The sequence below is a fragment of the Homo sapiens genome, chromosome 9 (assembly GCF_000001405.40).
Source record: "Homo sapiens chromosome 9, GRCh38.p14 Primary Assembly".
NCBI lineage: Eukaryota > Metazoa > Chordata > Mammalia > Primates > Hominidae > Homo > Homo sapiens.
In genome coordinates, this window is record NC_000009.12 from 129418549 (window position 1) to 129434515 (window position 15967).

General features: G+C 54.5%; 1 annotated feature.

The window, feature by feature from the left end:
* Positions 3937–4467: an enhancer, noted in NCBI's record as "H3K4me1 hESC enhancer chr9:132184764-132185294 (GRCh37/hg19 assembly coordinates)". NCBI's record gives its function as "activates a minimal SCP1, AML or CMV promoter by ChIP-STARR-seq in primed H9 embryonic stem cells {active_cell/tissue: H9 hESC(primed)}" and the evidence as "EXISTENCE:reporter gene assay evidence [ECO:0000049][PMID:30033119]".

The window sequence follows — 15967 nt, forward strand, 5'->3', positions numbered from 1 at the left end:
GGTCCACTCTGACTGACCCAGACAAGCTGCAGTGGGACTAGCAGAGGTGGGGGCTGGGGCAGAGCACTGGACTCAGAAGCAGGAGACCAGGGGCGGGGCCTGGCTCTGTCCCATGATGTGTGACCCTGGGGAAATGGCATCCCAGAATTGTCCATCAGCTCAGATGAAATACCTTAAAGACTCAGGAAACGTCAGCTGCTGGGGGCATTACTGTTATAATTATTGCTGTCATGTTGTTGCTACAAAAGAAGCTGCTTAGAGCCACTGGCTTTGGGAGACATCATTCATTCGGTGGTTACCATTTGTTCAACCACTCAGTAAAAGTTTATCACTGTCAGGCGCAGTGGCTCACGCCTGTAATCCTAGCACTTTTGGAGGCCAAGACGGGCGGATCACCTGAGGTCAGGAGTTCGAGACTAGCCTGACCAACATGGAGAACCCCTATCTCTACTAAAAATACAAAATTAGCCGGGTGTGGTGGCGCATGCCTGTAATCCCAGCTACTCAGGAGGCTGAGGCAGGAGAATCCCTTGAACCGGGAGGCAGACGTTGCAGTGAGCCAAGATTGGATTGCACCATTGCACTCCAGCCTGGGCAACAAGAGCGAAACTCCATCTCAAAAAAATTAAAAAAGTTTAATACTGTGGCCAGGCATGGTGGCTTACACCTGTAATTCCAGCACTTTGGGAGGTAGAGGCGGGCAGATAACCTGAGGTCAGGAGTTTAAGACCGGCCTGGCCAACATGGTGAAACCCCGTCTCTTCTAAAAATACAAAAATTACCCAGGCGTAGTGGTGGGTGCCTGTAATCCCAGCTATTTGGGAGGCTGAGGCAGGAGAATCGCTTGAACTCCAGAGACGGAGGTTGCAGTGAGCCGAGGTTGTGCCACTGCACTCCAGCCTGGGCAACAAGAGCAAAACTCCATCTCAAAAAACAAAACAAAAAAAAAGTTTATTATTGTGATCTGTGCCATGTGTTGGGCCCTGAGCCAAGTGCTGGGAAGATACTAGATAAGACTGGACCCTACCGTGCAGGGAGGGCAGTGAACAGGTGTCACCTTGATTGCCAGCTCCTCAGTTGATAGAGGCTGTGTTGAGGATTCTGAGACTACATCTGGGCTTACAGGAAGAGAGTGCTGTGATCAATTAGTAATGTCTGCCATGGACACAGGGAGAGGAGTCTATAGTAACGCATTTCCTGGCCTTAACACTAAAAATAGGCAGGATTTCAGACAGGAGACCCTTGTGACTGTGGTTGCCTGACACATGACCGGGGACAGCAAGTCATTGAGCTACTGCCTGCCTCATTTTACCTGTTTGCAAGGCAGAGATGCCGACATGGGACTCATTGCATTTTTAGGAGCTAGAGCTGGACAGGCCAGCCTTCCTGTTTTAACCCAGGCTGCTCTGTACTGGAGTGAGGATCAAGTGTGAGATGCCTCTATATGGAAACACATAGCGCTCAGCAGATGCCTGGTGGGCAGCTGACCAGGAGCTGGAGCTGCGGTGAGAGCACAGGAGAGCTGGGCTTCCAGCTGCTCTGCCGTTGGCCCTGCTTGGGCCTCAGCTTCTCCATATGCTCAGTGGGTGCTTGGAGGGTGGAAGTGTTGTGGGGCCTCTGGAATCCACAGTCTTGTGATACCTGCAATGCTGAGACCTTGGATGGGGGGAGCAGAATGAAAGCGGGGCCCTGGAGGGGAGATGGTGGGAAGGAATGATCCAGTACCCCATATGGAAGCTAGGTGGGCAGAGGGAGCCGGGAGGATGTGGGAAAGGGTGAAGAGAGGCCACCGCTGCTGGATCTTCCCAAGGGCTGTCCAGCTCCGTCAGGGGGCGCTTCCCTGTGCACCCCACATCCCAGGTGCTATCCCCAAGCAAGGAAGGGAGGGAAGAGGGTGGGCAATGTGGGGGCCCCAGAGAGTGTTGGAGGGGCTGAGACCCTGACAGGTGGGCACCTGGGTTCTGAAGAGGCCATGGCAGCAGTGACCCCTGGCCGCAAGGCTTGAACCCAGGAGCAGCACGGGCTGGGGTAGAAGACGCAGGCCAAGCCCCAGTCCTCAGGGAGGAGCATGGCAGACCAGGGCAGCTCCCGGGGAGGCCAAAGTAACCCTCAGACCCTGAAAACAGACTGGCCACGTCTCCCAGGTGGACGCAGTGGGTTCTCCACGAGCGTGACTTGGGGATTTAGGGCACTGAGACTGTGCTACCCACCCTCCTTAAAAATCCCTCGTGGCTCCCAGTTGCCCTGAAGGGGAATCCCAAACTCTTCAGAGGCAGTACATGCTGGTGGTTGAGAGTTGGGAGCCTGAGTCCAAGTTCCAGCCTGGCCACTATCGGCTGTGTGACCACCGGCAACTCACCTAACCTCTCTGGGCCTCACCGGCTCATTGGAGGATGTGGTGAGAGAATGACTGAGATGAGCTTAGCACAGTGCTGGCCACACCGTCACTGTTCAATGCCAGGTGGCTGTGCTTACCACCACTGCTGGCTGTAACTGGCGGAGCATGGCACAGAAGGTCCTGGCCACCTGAACCGCAGTCGGCCTCTCCTTTCTCATCGGCTCCAGCGCCACCCGCCGATGCCGCCCCAACACCAAGCTGCTCTCTGTTCCCTCAACACTCCCTGGTCTTTCTGTGTCACTGGGCCTTTGCTCCTGCTGTGCCCCCGCCAGGAATGCCCTTTCCCCTCCAGGCTACTTCCAGACTCTGTCGGTTGTCAGTTTTCGAGTGCCCTGGGAACCCCCTCACCCACAAGGGTGACTCAGTGCCCTGCGTGCACCCAGAGCTTGGTGTGTGGCATCGGGTCTGTCTCCCGTCTGATTCTGCGACTTCTCAGGCGCGCATGTCATGGCCTATTCATTTTCTTGTCCTCGGTGCCCAGCGCCGCGCCTGTCACACGGTGGGTGCTCCGTAGAGTGGGCTGAAGGATGGAAGCAATCAATCCCCAACACGGTGGGCGTGCTCAGCTCAGGGACGGCAGATCGCTCTCCACTCCGGCTCTGTGTTCTCCTTCCTTAGCCTCAAGGAGAAACGGAACGCCGCAGCACCTCTCCGAGGATGCCGGCGGGAGACGCTTCGCTTCGATGAAATGCTCGGCCTCGGAGTTGGCGCTTTGCGTGAGGGATGGGGACATGGAGGCCCCACGAAGGATCAGCAAGGCCCCAGTGACCCCTTCCTCTCCTCGCCCCTCCCCTGCCTCTTATTCCTGCCCTGAGCAGGCATTGAGCTCCTGGGATTGGGCGAGGAAGGGAGAGCAAGGGGCAGGGGGTGGGTGGACAGCAGGTGCCCAGTCCTACAGGCGCTGCTGGGGTCAGGATGCCACTCTCACCACCCTGGGAGCTGTCTTCAGCACAGGGGCAGCTGTGGTGGGGGTAGTGTGCTCCATGACCAGCCCTGGCCAGGCCCTTGTCCCCACTGCTCTCCCTGGCTACCAGACCTCTCACTGTGAGGCAGCCAGGTCTCCCCGTCCTGGCAGAGGGAAGGCTGTTGCTCCCATCTGGCTCTGCTCCTGGCCATCTGCCCTCTGACCCCACCTGCCCCAGGCTGAGGTCCCCTGCAGGATGCTCGAGTTAAACAGAGTCCGAGGGAGTAGTGAGTCCAGCCCTCCCATTTGGCAGATGACAAAACTGAGGCCCAGGAAGGCAAAGAGACTTGTCAGAGGTCACACCAGGAACCCAGCATTCTGTCTATGGCTTGATGTCCTTCCAGAACAGGAGAAGACCTTGGCTTTGACCTTGAAGAAATAGCAAAACTTGGACCTTGAAGACAGGCGATTGCTATGACTAATTTGTGGCCAGGTGGTGTGACCTTGGGTATGTTACCTAACCTCGCTGAGCCGCATGGTGCTGGTGAGGATTCGGTGAGATGACAACTGGTCAGGTCCTGGCAGGACTCCTGGCACATCCCTGACTCTCAATCAACAGGAGCTTTTGATATGGTTAGGAAGCAGGTAAGCCTCACCTTGAACAAATCCAACTGATGACGTTTGCTTTTATGCAGACATAGCAGTTCCCCCGACCTTTGTGCTGCTGTGGGAGGACAATGTGTGATGGAGAAGGGCCTGCTGCAGGTTTCTCTGGGTATAGTCAGGCAGGACCAGGCGTACATCCTGCTCTGCCCCCAGAAGCTGTGATTCAAGAGAGGGGCTTGGTGTCTCTGGGCCTCATCTTGCCCAACTGCAAAATGGGAGCAATGGCACCTCCCTTTGCAGGCTGCTGTGCCCCTCAGTGAGATAACTTCGGGGTGCAGAGCCTGGTGAGCGCAGGCCTTACAGAAGTCCATCTTCCTCACCAACTAAGGACCCAGTTCCGGAGAAAGTGCTTGCCTGTGGTTGTGAGGTAAGCTAGGCAGACCTGTTCTCAGGGCCTGGGTTTCCTGGGGAGGGATGGGTTCTCAGAGCTCCTGGGCTGAGTGAGTGGAGTCCCCGCAGGAACAGGAAGCTCCGCCCGCCTGCAGCCCTGTCCACAGCTGGTCATCCCTTCCTCCCGACCTTGCTAGAAGCTCGGGACCCACCGGGCCCTCCCGGCTGCTGCTGGGTGCCACGTGGCTGCCCTTTGCCGAGGAGGGGGTGGGGCGGGGGGTGTACATTTTCCAGGCGATGTTTTCCTAGCAGCTCTGAAAATTAATTGGCCTTTAATGTGGCATAGTATTTATTTTAATTAGCAGGAAATTGACCAATTTCTTAATAAGGGGCTTTGTGGAGGCTCTGTATTTGGGGCTGGCGGTGTGTGTGGTGGGGGAGGCGGTGATCAGACAAGAATGACACCCACAGCTCAAGAGGGGATTTTCAGGCACCACAGATGAGGTGGACAGAGTGATGAGACAGAGGGGAAGGGACTGGAGAAACATCAGGGGGCAGTGGGAGAAGAGGGCTCTGAGTCAGGGGACCTGCAGAGGGCCGGGGGACACGGCCACAGGCCTCCGTGGGATCTGACTTCCTGATCTCTGCCTTTGACCTTGGCCTGTTGGGGTCAAATCCCTGATCCCTGTGTCATGACTGTGCCTCCTCCCTCTAGCAACACGCCTTTCCCATTGGAGGAATTAACAGAGCAAATCAGTACCTGTGCAGGATTTCCTAAAGGCCTCTTTTCTTTATTCTTTTCTTTTCTCTTCTCTTTTTCCTTTTCTTTTCTTTTTTTTTCTTTTTTCTTGAGATGGAGTCTTGCTCTGTTGCCCAGGCTAGGGTGCAGTGGTGTGATCTCGGCTCACTGCAACCTCTGCCTCCCAGGTTCAAGTGATTCTCCTGCCTCAGCCTCCTGAGTAGCTGAGACTACAGGCGTGAGCCACCATGCCCGGCTAATTTTTTAGTATTTTTTGTAGAGATGGGGTCTTACTACGTTACCCAGGCTGGTCTCGAACTCCTGGGCTCAAGCGATCTGCCCACCTCAGCCTCCTAAAGTGCCTGGATTACAGGAGTGAGCCACTGTGCCTGGCAGGCTGTATGTTTTCATTCTGACTCCATCATTCGTTCATTCACTCACTCACTCATTCAACAAACAAACAATGGGCACCTACCCACCACGGGCCAGGCCTGCCTGGGCTCTGGGGTTCGATTATGAGTGCACAGACACACTGCCAGCCCTTGGAAGACTCACAGTCCAGGCAGAGAGGCAGACAGTGAAGACAGTGAAACATTGAGCTGGTTCATTGTCATTGCCCTCAGACCCTGAAGGAGAAGTACAGGATGTGTGCGAGAGTGGAACAGGGCCCTGGGCTCCACCCGAGACTCAGGGCAGCCTCCCCTGAGACCACTATGTTTAAGGCCGACCTGAAGGATGAGTAGGGTTATCTGTGAGGCTCCAGCAAAACACAGCATCTCTCTGGGCCTCAGTTTCCCCATTGGTAAAATGGCATCACTCATCACAGCACACGTGCTTAGGGGACCTTGGTGATTCTGCCAGGTCTAAGAAAAGCAACAGGGGCTGCTCGGGAGGCTGAGATGGGAGGATCGCTTGAGCCCGGGAGGCAGAGGTTGCAGTGAGCCGAGATTGCACCACTGCACTCCAGCCTGGGTGACAGAGTGAAACCCAGGCTCAAAACAAAACACAACAAAAACACACAGCCTTGTGACTCTAGTCAAGATCTCCCGCCACCCCCAACCTTGGAGTGTCTTTATGATTTTACGGACCTTTATTGGGGCGGGTCCTGATGGGGAAATTACCCCCCGACGCCAACAACCTATAGCCCTCAGGGGACCTTCCTCACCCCCACTCATTTCCTAAGGGTCTGACCCAGGAGCCTGGGTGCACACAGGGCTCATTCAAGTGAAGAGAAGAAGGGCGCTTACTCCTCTCCCACCCTGGACCCTAAAGGGAGTGAGGCCCAGGGACCTCTCTGCAGCTCCAGCCTCCGGTAACCAGGGGAGAGTGGGCTGCCTGTGGTCCTCAGGCCTGGGGGCCTCATGGAGCCTGTCCAGAATTCTCCAAAGACCTGCCTCAGCCACTGACCGGGGGAAGAAAGCATGGCTGCCCACCTCCAGCTGGCCAACGGCCTGCCAAGCCTCCTGGTCCAGCGACAGCAGGAGAGCTCCTCGGCCCTCTGCCTGGACTCAGGCCCACCATGTTCCTACCACGTTTATTTATTTGAAACTGTTTCTACAATGCTTTATCTGTGCCAGGCACCATTCTAAGTGCTTTAAGATATTTATCCTCTTTATGAAGTAAGTACTATTATGTCCTCATTTTACAGATGAGGAAACTGAGGCACAGAGAGGGCAAGGGACCAGCCCACTTCCCCGCAGGCTTTTGCTGCTGACTTTTGGGGATTTAATTCTCAGCCTTCTTAGGTGTGTTCTGCCTCCCACTCAGCAGGCTCCATCCAGCCCCTGGGCCTTTGCTCACAGGGGTTCCCTCTGCCCAGACACCAGTGAGGTGGATGCTGCCTGCGTAGGAGCTGGCACATAGATGGTGGCATGGTAGATAGCGAAAGGACAAGGACCCTGGGACCGGCCATGCCTGGGATCTGCTGCAGGCAGCTGTGGGATCCGGGATAAGTGGCTTCATGTCTCTGTAGCCGCCCTTCTTCTGGAAAGTGGAGGTAAAACTTTATTCAAAAGACTGTCACAGGAATTGAACACGTGAACCTGTATAAAGTGCCAGACGCAGTGGCCGGCATGCAACTGTTCATTAATGAACATAAGAGTCTCTGCTCTTTAGAGCCAGATATGGTGACCCACACCTGTAATCCAGGCTACTCAGAAGGCTGAGGCAGGAGGATCCCTTGAGGCCTGGAGTTGGAGACCAGCTTGGGCAACATACAGAGACCCTATCTCTAAAAAAAATAAAATAAAATAGATTTTCTGCTTTTTCTCCCTAGCCTGTCCTCTTGCCCATCAAAGCCCAGCTCATCCCAGAAGACTTTGCCCCCTTTCCATGCAAAGTCCCCAGTTACAGGTGTCCCCAGAGCACCTTCTGTCTGTTTCACTCAGCTTGGTACCTGATCATATCCACACTGGCCCCTGGCCCCTGGGAACCCAGGCAGCTGGGAGCCCAGGCCAGAGGAAGGCAGAACCTGTGCTGGGGTTAGAGCCAGGGTTCTGGGCCCAGTAGCTTTGTTAGACAGATATTTATTGAGCACCTACTGTGTGCCAGGCAGAGTGAAGGAGGTAGCCCCAAGAAGCCTCTGTTGGGTGGGAGAGCCCAGTGAGTGAGCTGGCCACCCTGCCTGAGCGGCTGTGCAGGGTGGATGGGTCCAGCTGGTGCATGCGGGACAGAGTGGCCTCTCTGCTGAGGTTGGAGGTGGGAACAGGAGCTGGTGGCTGAAGGGTAGTGTGATGAGCCTGGGTACGTCACGGACTTTGGGACGGAGGGTGAGACGAGTGTGGTCTTCAGGAAAGAGCCGGCCGTGGGATGTGGTCCTCGTGGGGACCCTGAGAGAACTGCATCGAGGGACAAGCCTGAAGGGTGGGACCCATGTCCTTGCTCACTCCACAGGTGCAGAGAGTTCCAGCAAGGTGATAGACGCTGACAAGGGTGAGCAAAAGAGATCTGCCAGGGCCAGGCTCGGCGGCTCATGCCTATAATCCCAGCACTTTGGGAGGCGGAGGTGGGAGGATCACTTGAGCCCAGGAGTTCAAGACCAGCCTGGGCGACATGGTGAGACCTCATCTCAAAAAAAAGAAAAAATTTTTTTGAGGCAGAGTCTCGCTCTGTCGCTGAGGCTGGAGTGCAGTGGCATGATCTCGGTTCACTGCAACCTCTGTCTCCTGGGTTCATGTGATTCTCCTGCCTCAGCCGTCCAAGTAGATGGAATTAAGAGTGTGCACAACCAAACCTGGCTAATTTTTTTGTATTTTTAGTAGAGACGGAGTTTTGCCATATTGGTCGGGCTGGTCTAAAACTCCTGACCTCAGGTGATCTGCCCACCTTGGCCTCCCTGCAAAATTTTTTAAAAATGAGCCAGGCATGGTGTCACATACCTGTAATCCCAGCTACTAAGGAGGCTGAGGTGGGAGGATCACTTGAGTCCAGGAGGTAGAGGTTGCGGTGAGCCATGATCACACCACTGCACTCTAGCCTGGGCAACAGAATGAGACCCTGTCTCAAAAAAAAAAAGAGATCTGTCCTTTCAAATGATGTTCTGGTGGGAGATGGAGGGGAGCTAACATCAACTAAGTAACCAAATAAACAAACAAGATCATTGCTGAGTGTGAAGAATGGATGAAGCCAATGACCCCAGCGTAGGTGGGGAGACAGAGCTGGAAGCTGCAGTCAGATGCTGGGACTTTCTCCTCAGGTGGGTGGGAGTGGGAGCCACGGAGGGCTCTGAAGCAGGGGCGTGGTGAGACTGGCGGGCGGCGGGGGGGTTAGATGACACCTCTACTGCTGCATGGGGAACTGGAGTAGGAGGAAAGGCTGGGAGCTGAGGGAGCATCTGAACAAGACATGGTGGCTGGGGTCAGGCTGGGGGGGGTGGCGGTCATGGGGATCTGGAGAAGAGCGGGTTTGAAAGCTGTCTTAGAGGTCAAGGGACAGGAGTTGATGACGATGGTGAAGGCTGTGAAAGGTGAGGAAGAGGAAGAGATGAAGTCGAAATTTGCTTTCTAGACAGGACCTTGGGGTGACAATGGTGCCATTTGCCTGTGTGGGGAGGTTGAGGAGCTCAGCTTTCAGCCTGCCCAGTGTCCGGCGCCTGGGATGGTCTTAGCAGGAAGGCCCTGCAGCCACCGGTGGCCACAGCATCTGAGAACCCTCGGAGAGGTTGAGCCTGCCTTTGGGGCAGAACGGAGACACGACCTACAGCCATGGGTACCAGCTGCCTGAAGGCCTCATCTGATTCTGCATTTCCCAAAGCAGGGCTCGGGACATCCTTCCCTCTTAGTATTCTTGACTCATCCCGGAGCATCTGCAATGCCGAACATTCTAGAATCTTGAGGACTTTTCCTGCAGCTTTGAGAAGCCCCTCAACGTCGCTGCCCTTGCCTCACACATTGCTCCCGTTGTGATCCGTGGATCACAGGCTCCGATTGCGAAGGGGAGAGTCTATTTCTCAGGGGAGGAATGGACCCCTGGTTGGCTCAGCTCCATGTCCTCAGCTTTGGAAATCACCGTCGCTGTTGTCTCCTGCATGTTGGCTTCTCGGGAACGCCCCCACTCCTGGTCCTGTTGGAAGTGATGCTTGGGGTTGAGACTGTGGGGTCCTGAGCTGTGATCCCCACAGGCATAGCTTTGGGTGGGGAAGTCCCTGGGGCTCCCTTCTTCTCTTTGAGGACCCTCCCCCTCAGTGAGGGGCTCTATGTCTATTTTGTTCCTACCACTGGGGGCTCAGCAGAGACCCAGCTGGGCTCTGCCGCTGGGCCTTGCAGACTGATGGAGAAAGGGGCGTGTGTGTGTGTGTGTGTGTGTGTGTGTGTGTGTGTGGTGTGTGTGGTGTGGGGTGTGTGTGTGTGAGAGAGAGAGAGAGAGAGAGAGAGGAGAGAGAGAGGGAGAGCGCCCGCCTGAAACCTAATTGTCCGCTGTCTAATCCATCAGCCGGAGGACAGCTTGCCGGCCCCTCCCCGGCGGGCTGATAAATGCCGTCCAAGGCCCCCTGCGCCAGAGCTGCCTTAATTGGTATCAGGACGTGTCTGGACTCCGTCCACCAGGCCCCTGCCTTCATCCCCTTCTGCCACCTCCTCCTCCACCCCATTGGCCTCTAGCCCCTGGCAGGGCTCACCTGCCGCCCACCCCTGGGGAAGGTGCAGCAGCTGAGGCCACAGCCCCAGGGAGATGGTGTGACACCAACAACGACAGCTCCGTTTATGTGGGACCTACTGCTTGCCCAGCTATGCTGAAGAGCCCTCTGCCCACCCTCCCCCGTCCTCACAAAGCCCTGTGAGGTGGGGGAACCACCCTCCTTCCCCTTCCACCCATGCAGGAGGTGGCTCCTGAGCCCTCCACATTCCTGGCCCCAGGCTGGGTGCTGGGCATGCACAGGGACCAGGACAGATTCAGGGCCCACCTTTGCAGGGCGCTCCTCTATGACTGGCAGGAAGGGGCTCATTCCTAAATGGCCTGCTAGGGTTTAAGGGTGAGTGAGTGTTGACCCCTTGCCCATTTGGGGAAGTTCAGAGAAGTTTGGCAACCTGCCTAAGGTCACACAGCTAGAAAAGAAGGGAGAGCAAGCTGGCCTCTGAAACAACCACAACTGCTTTTCAATGCCAGCTGTGTCCAAATCACTCGAAGTGTGAGTTAGAAACCCAGGGACCCCTCTGGAATTCTGCTTTTGGGTCTGAGTGCCCCAGGGACCTGTGCGGGAATCACATTCTCTCCAGGTGAGCAGGCCACTCAGGAACCCTGTTGAGTCTCCACTGATGGATAGTGGAAAATCAGGAAGGGGCTGAGTGGAGAGGGAATGGGATGACATTTCTTTCTTTCATTCATTCATTCATTCATTCATTCATCCATCCATCCATCCATTCAGCAATTGCCTTGTGCTGGGCTTTGCTCTGGATGCTGGCAGGACTGGCTACGCGATTTGCCGGGCCCTGTGTAAAAGGAAAATTCGGGGCGGTAAAATTACAATTATTGAGAATTTCAAGATGGTGACGACAGAACAGTCAGCCATGTACGGGGCCCTGGGTGACTGTGGAAGTGGCTCTACCACAGAGCCAGCCCCGCTGCCGGGGAGACCCTGCAGGGAGACAGCCAAACCAACGCGCCTGAGAGCCCCGATCCTCGTCTGGTCCCCATCCCCTAACTGGAATTCTGCAATTAACAAAAAGTCTGAAAAACCGAAGTCCTTTTGTTAAGATGGTGGTAAATTCATCTGGAGGCAAAACCTGACCTCAGCTGACAGGAAGCTATTTATAGTTTTATTTATTCCCCTTGATGTGAACATTTGTACATTTCACTGCAGAGCTATTAACATGTTTGATTATGGGGACTGCCCCAGCCCTGCTTAAGGTGTTACCTAATCTATGCTATAGGTATCGTTTTACACCTCTACACGGAACACACTGAGTCCCTAATGCCTCTGGCTCAGAGGCTTAGGAGAAGAAATCTGGACCCACATAGGACCTATACCAATATCTTGTATGGAATGATCACTGCGTACCTGTTTTTTTTTTTTTTTCTGTATCATCCAAAAAATGCATGGGGCAGGGTGAGGGTCTGTCAATGACCCCCATACCTGGTCTGCCTGCCTCTTGGGTGGTGGAGACCTGCTTTGTGCTAGCAAGGGGACTCCTGAGAGGGCTGCGGGGGTGTCCCTCTCAGGGTCCACTGGGATCTTTTATTTAGTATTAAGGAGATTGGGGGAGGTATGAGGCCAAGCAAGAGAACAGCTTTCTTTCTTTTTTTGAGAAGGAGTCTCGCTCTGTCACCCAGGTAGGAGTGCAGTGGCGCGATCTCGGCTCACCGCAAGCTCCGCCTCCCAGATTCACGCCATTCTCCTGCCTCAATCTCCCGAGCAGCTGGGACCACAGGGGCCCACCACTATGCCCGGCTAATTTTTTTGTATTTTTAGTAGAGATGGAGTTTCACCGTGTTAGCCAGGATGCTCTCGATCTTCTGACCTCATGATCCGCCCGCCTCGGCCTCCCATAAGTGCTGGGATTACAGGCATGAGCCACCGCGCACAGCCAGATAGCAGCTTTCTTAAAAAGAGAAAAGAAGATGGCTTTATTGATTACAAATACATATATGTTTATTGCACAAAAATTAACATAAAAGGGGAAAGTAACAATAACCTCTCCAAAGTACCTACTGATGATGTTTTTGTGGCTACCCTTCCAGATTTTTCTAGATATATGACCGACTTTTTGAAGGTGGGCAGACAGTTCCCAGGGTTTTGCAACCTGCTTTTTTTCTCCTTTGCGGAACAATACATTGCAACCATCTTCCCATGTCTAGGTCGTCATTTCTCAGGAGGACCTGAACGTCCGTGGTAAACACGTCCCATAACCAGCTCGAACAACCCCCCTTGTTGGACACTGTTTGATTCAGCTTCTTATGAATACGCAGTCCCCGAGATGGCATCCTTGTGCACAGGCCTGAGTCTTTCCTTGGGTCAGGTCTATAGATGTGGAGCCCTGGGTCCCACGCGGGGGGTACGGCTGTCACCCTGAAGATACCGCAGATCGCTGACGTCACATTCGCCATCCCGCCCCCAGCAGCGCCGGTGGGCCCCTCTCACCCAAATAACCATTCTGTATCCTTAGGAAGAGGGGCCTGTCCCAGCCAGGCAGGGGATCATGCCAGAGCAGCCCCTCTGCAGCTGTGGGGGAGGCGGGGAAGCCAGCCAGAGTACCATGTGGACAGCGCAGGCATCAGGGACCCTTCAGCCACCTTGGAGTGGCTCCCTTCCCTCTGCCTCCAATTGCTCCCAACCCACAGTTCCTGGCCCCATGGCAGCCCCTTGGCTGCCGCCCCCAGCTGGGCCTGAGCCACCTTGCCTGGCACTCTGGCTCTCTCTTCTCAGATGGGGATATAGGCTGGACTCCAGGCCCCATCACACCCTAATCACTTGAGCTTTCTCCTGATTTGCATGTCCTTAAAGCGCCTTGATTAATACTCCTTCCTCAGCTCGCCCAGCTCCAGCCACGAAGGCTCTGATTGCAAAGTGGCCTCAACTCCTTTAAAAATAAAATAAATCCTCCCTAATGCAACCAGAGCCCATGCTTCCCTGAACGTTAAGAGATCTGGAGGCATCTCCCAGGAGCCTCATCAGCTTGGGAACACTGGAAACTTCTGGAAGGAATCAGGTCATTTCTCTACCTGGCAGGCCAGAGGCCGTTCTCGGCACTCTTTATTGGCTGCTCACCCTTCGGGCTGAACCTGAAACATCATGGCGGTCATTGGAAGTAGACACCGTCTTCTCCCTTCCAGAAAATAAACTGAGCCTCAGAGAGGGCAGGCTGCTTGCTCAAGGTCACCCAGTCAGGCCGTTTTCAGCTCAGCTGGTGTTTGAATTCAGCACTGTCTGATGCCAGCCAGACCTTTAACTGCCACTCTTCACTGTCTTGTTAAAAGCAGGCTGGGCCTGGAGCTGGGGCTAGGGATGAGGATGAGGCTGGAAAAAGCAGACACATTTAATGAGGTGGCTATGACATCCAGCCCTAGACATCCCTGAAGTGGATGAAGCCGGCCTCACCCTGAAGAAGAGCATCCAGGAGCCCCTCTGCTGTTCCCCAGCTGTATGATCTTGATATCTGTATGTTCTTGATATCTGGGCATGGGGTGAGGCAGGGGTACTGGGTCCCGCTATAACCGCTACAGGACCTTTTCGGCATGATGCACGGTGCAGTGGGCGCACCCCACAGTTGTACCCCGCATTTCCCGCTCACGGCTCTAACCCTCAGCTGCATTCCAGTCTGTATCACCAGAGCCCAAAATGCAGCCTGGGGACTCTGGTTGCTCTCCCCTGCTTGGAAACCCTCTGTGGGGGTCTCTGTGGGGGCAGGATGGCTCCCAGGGTGGCAGGGCACAGAGACTTCGTTAAGCTCTCTGCCCTCCCATCCTCCTCGCCTCCAAGCAACTCCCTTCCTGGCCTGCCGCGGCTCTTCCTGCTTCTCATTAGGGCAGAGTTGCTGGGAGCTGCAAGGTTTAAAATGCTGTGAGTGTAGCACAGTGTTCACCTTTCATCTCCCCAGTTGAGCAGTTTCCCAAGTACTGCTTCTACCATTCCTCTCTCCAGCTTCCTCCTCCCCATCGCTGGGTCTTCGGGGCCTGTTGCAAGGCCCCTGGGATGGCCTGGACTTTCCTATGAGTTCCTGTTGTCCCTGGCCATCTCTGAGCTTGTTGGGCTGACTGTCCAGCTGAGCTGAGCGTTGCTGTTCCTGGCAGGGACCTGCCAAGCCACTGGGCCTTGGAGCAGGTGTGCACCCACGGTCCACTGGACAGAGCCTGGCACACCCTCGCTGGCCTCCAGAACACAGCGTGCTCAGGGGCCATACCGCCTGGGGAGCTGTAACACACTGTTCCAGCTCCTCTGGGGACACCTTAGCAGGTGGGGCAGGGACAGCAGGAGGCACAGAGAGCCTGGGAACATTCTCCCAGTGCCAGGCCCTTGGGACCCAAAGTGCAGGCATCTGGAACCATGCTCGCCTGCCCCTGGGCCATCCACCCCCACTGCCGTTGATGCTGGCTCCTGGCAGGGGCTGCCTCTCCTCCCTATTTTCTGGGCTACCAGCTGGGCCTGGGTGCATGAGACCTGAAGGATTCTTGGGCATACTCCCAGGGACCTTTGCAACTCCCAGAGAAAATTGGGGGACTGATAACAACCATGCCAAGTTTTTATTACAAAAACAAAATGAAAACCACACACATTAAAAATCTCACCATCCGAACGGATCATTTGAGGTCAGGAGTTCGAGACCAGCCTGGCCAACCTGGTGAAACCCTGTCTCTACTAAAAATATAAAAATTAGCCGGGTGTGGTAGCGGGTGCCTGTAATCCCAGCTACTCGGGAGGCTGAGGCAGGAGAATCGCCTGAATCCTAGAGGCAGAGGTTGCAGTGAGCCGAGATTGGGCCACTGCACTCCAGCCTGGGTGACAGAATGAGGGGGATCACTTGAGCCCAGGAGTTTGAGATCCACCAGGGTAACATAGTGAGACCCATTTCTACAAAAAATAAAATTATTTGGGCATGCTGGCACACGTCAATAGTCCCAGCTACTCAGGAGGCTGAAGTGGGAGGATCGCTTGAGCCCAGGAAGTCGAGGCTGCAGTGAGCAGTGATCACACCAGTGCACTGTAGCCTGGTCAACAGAACAAGACCCTGTCTCAAAAAAGGAAAAAAAAAAATTCTCATCATCAACTATCCCATCATTTCATGAAATAAATTTCATTTTAAAGCCCAAAAAGTATGAAGGACATAATCTTAGAATAAAGGAAAATCCTCCCCCAAAAAGCACATCTGGTGACCACCACACACCGTGTCGCATGCTGGAGGCCTGAGAAAGCTTTGCCACAGCCAAGCACCAGGCACTGAGTCCTAATGGAGCACTTGGGATCATCTGTCCCAGGGTCACTGTAGCCATCAGTGCCTGGCAAACACTTTATGCAAAACAATGGATTTTCACCCATGTCCAAACTGTGGTCTGTAGGGTCTGGGATCCTCCCTCAGGCCCCAAGATGGATGAATCTGCCAGAATTTGCATTAGTCTACAGACAACAGAAAACTCCACCAAGCATGGTTTAAACAAATGAAAAGTTTCTTTCTGTGTGTGGAATGTGTTGAGGGAGGTGGTCTGGGGTTGTGGCAGCCTTGATACAAGAGTTCCCAAAGATCCAGGTATCCTTGGCTTCCTCCTTGCCACCTTGGTGTCTGGCTTTTGTCCTCATAGTCATAAGATGCCTGCTCCACCTCCAGCCATCACGTCCACATTCCAGGCAAGTATATTTTTCTTGGAATCTTTGCCTTTTAATTCAGGAAGGGAAACTATCCTCGGGATCATCTGCCTTCATCTCATTGGCCAGAGCTGGGTCCCATGCTCACCACCAGCTGCAAAGGAAGCTGGGAAATTGAGTATTTTAATTTTCTGCATTCTA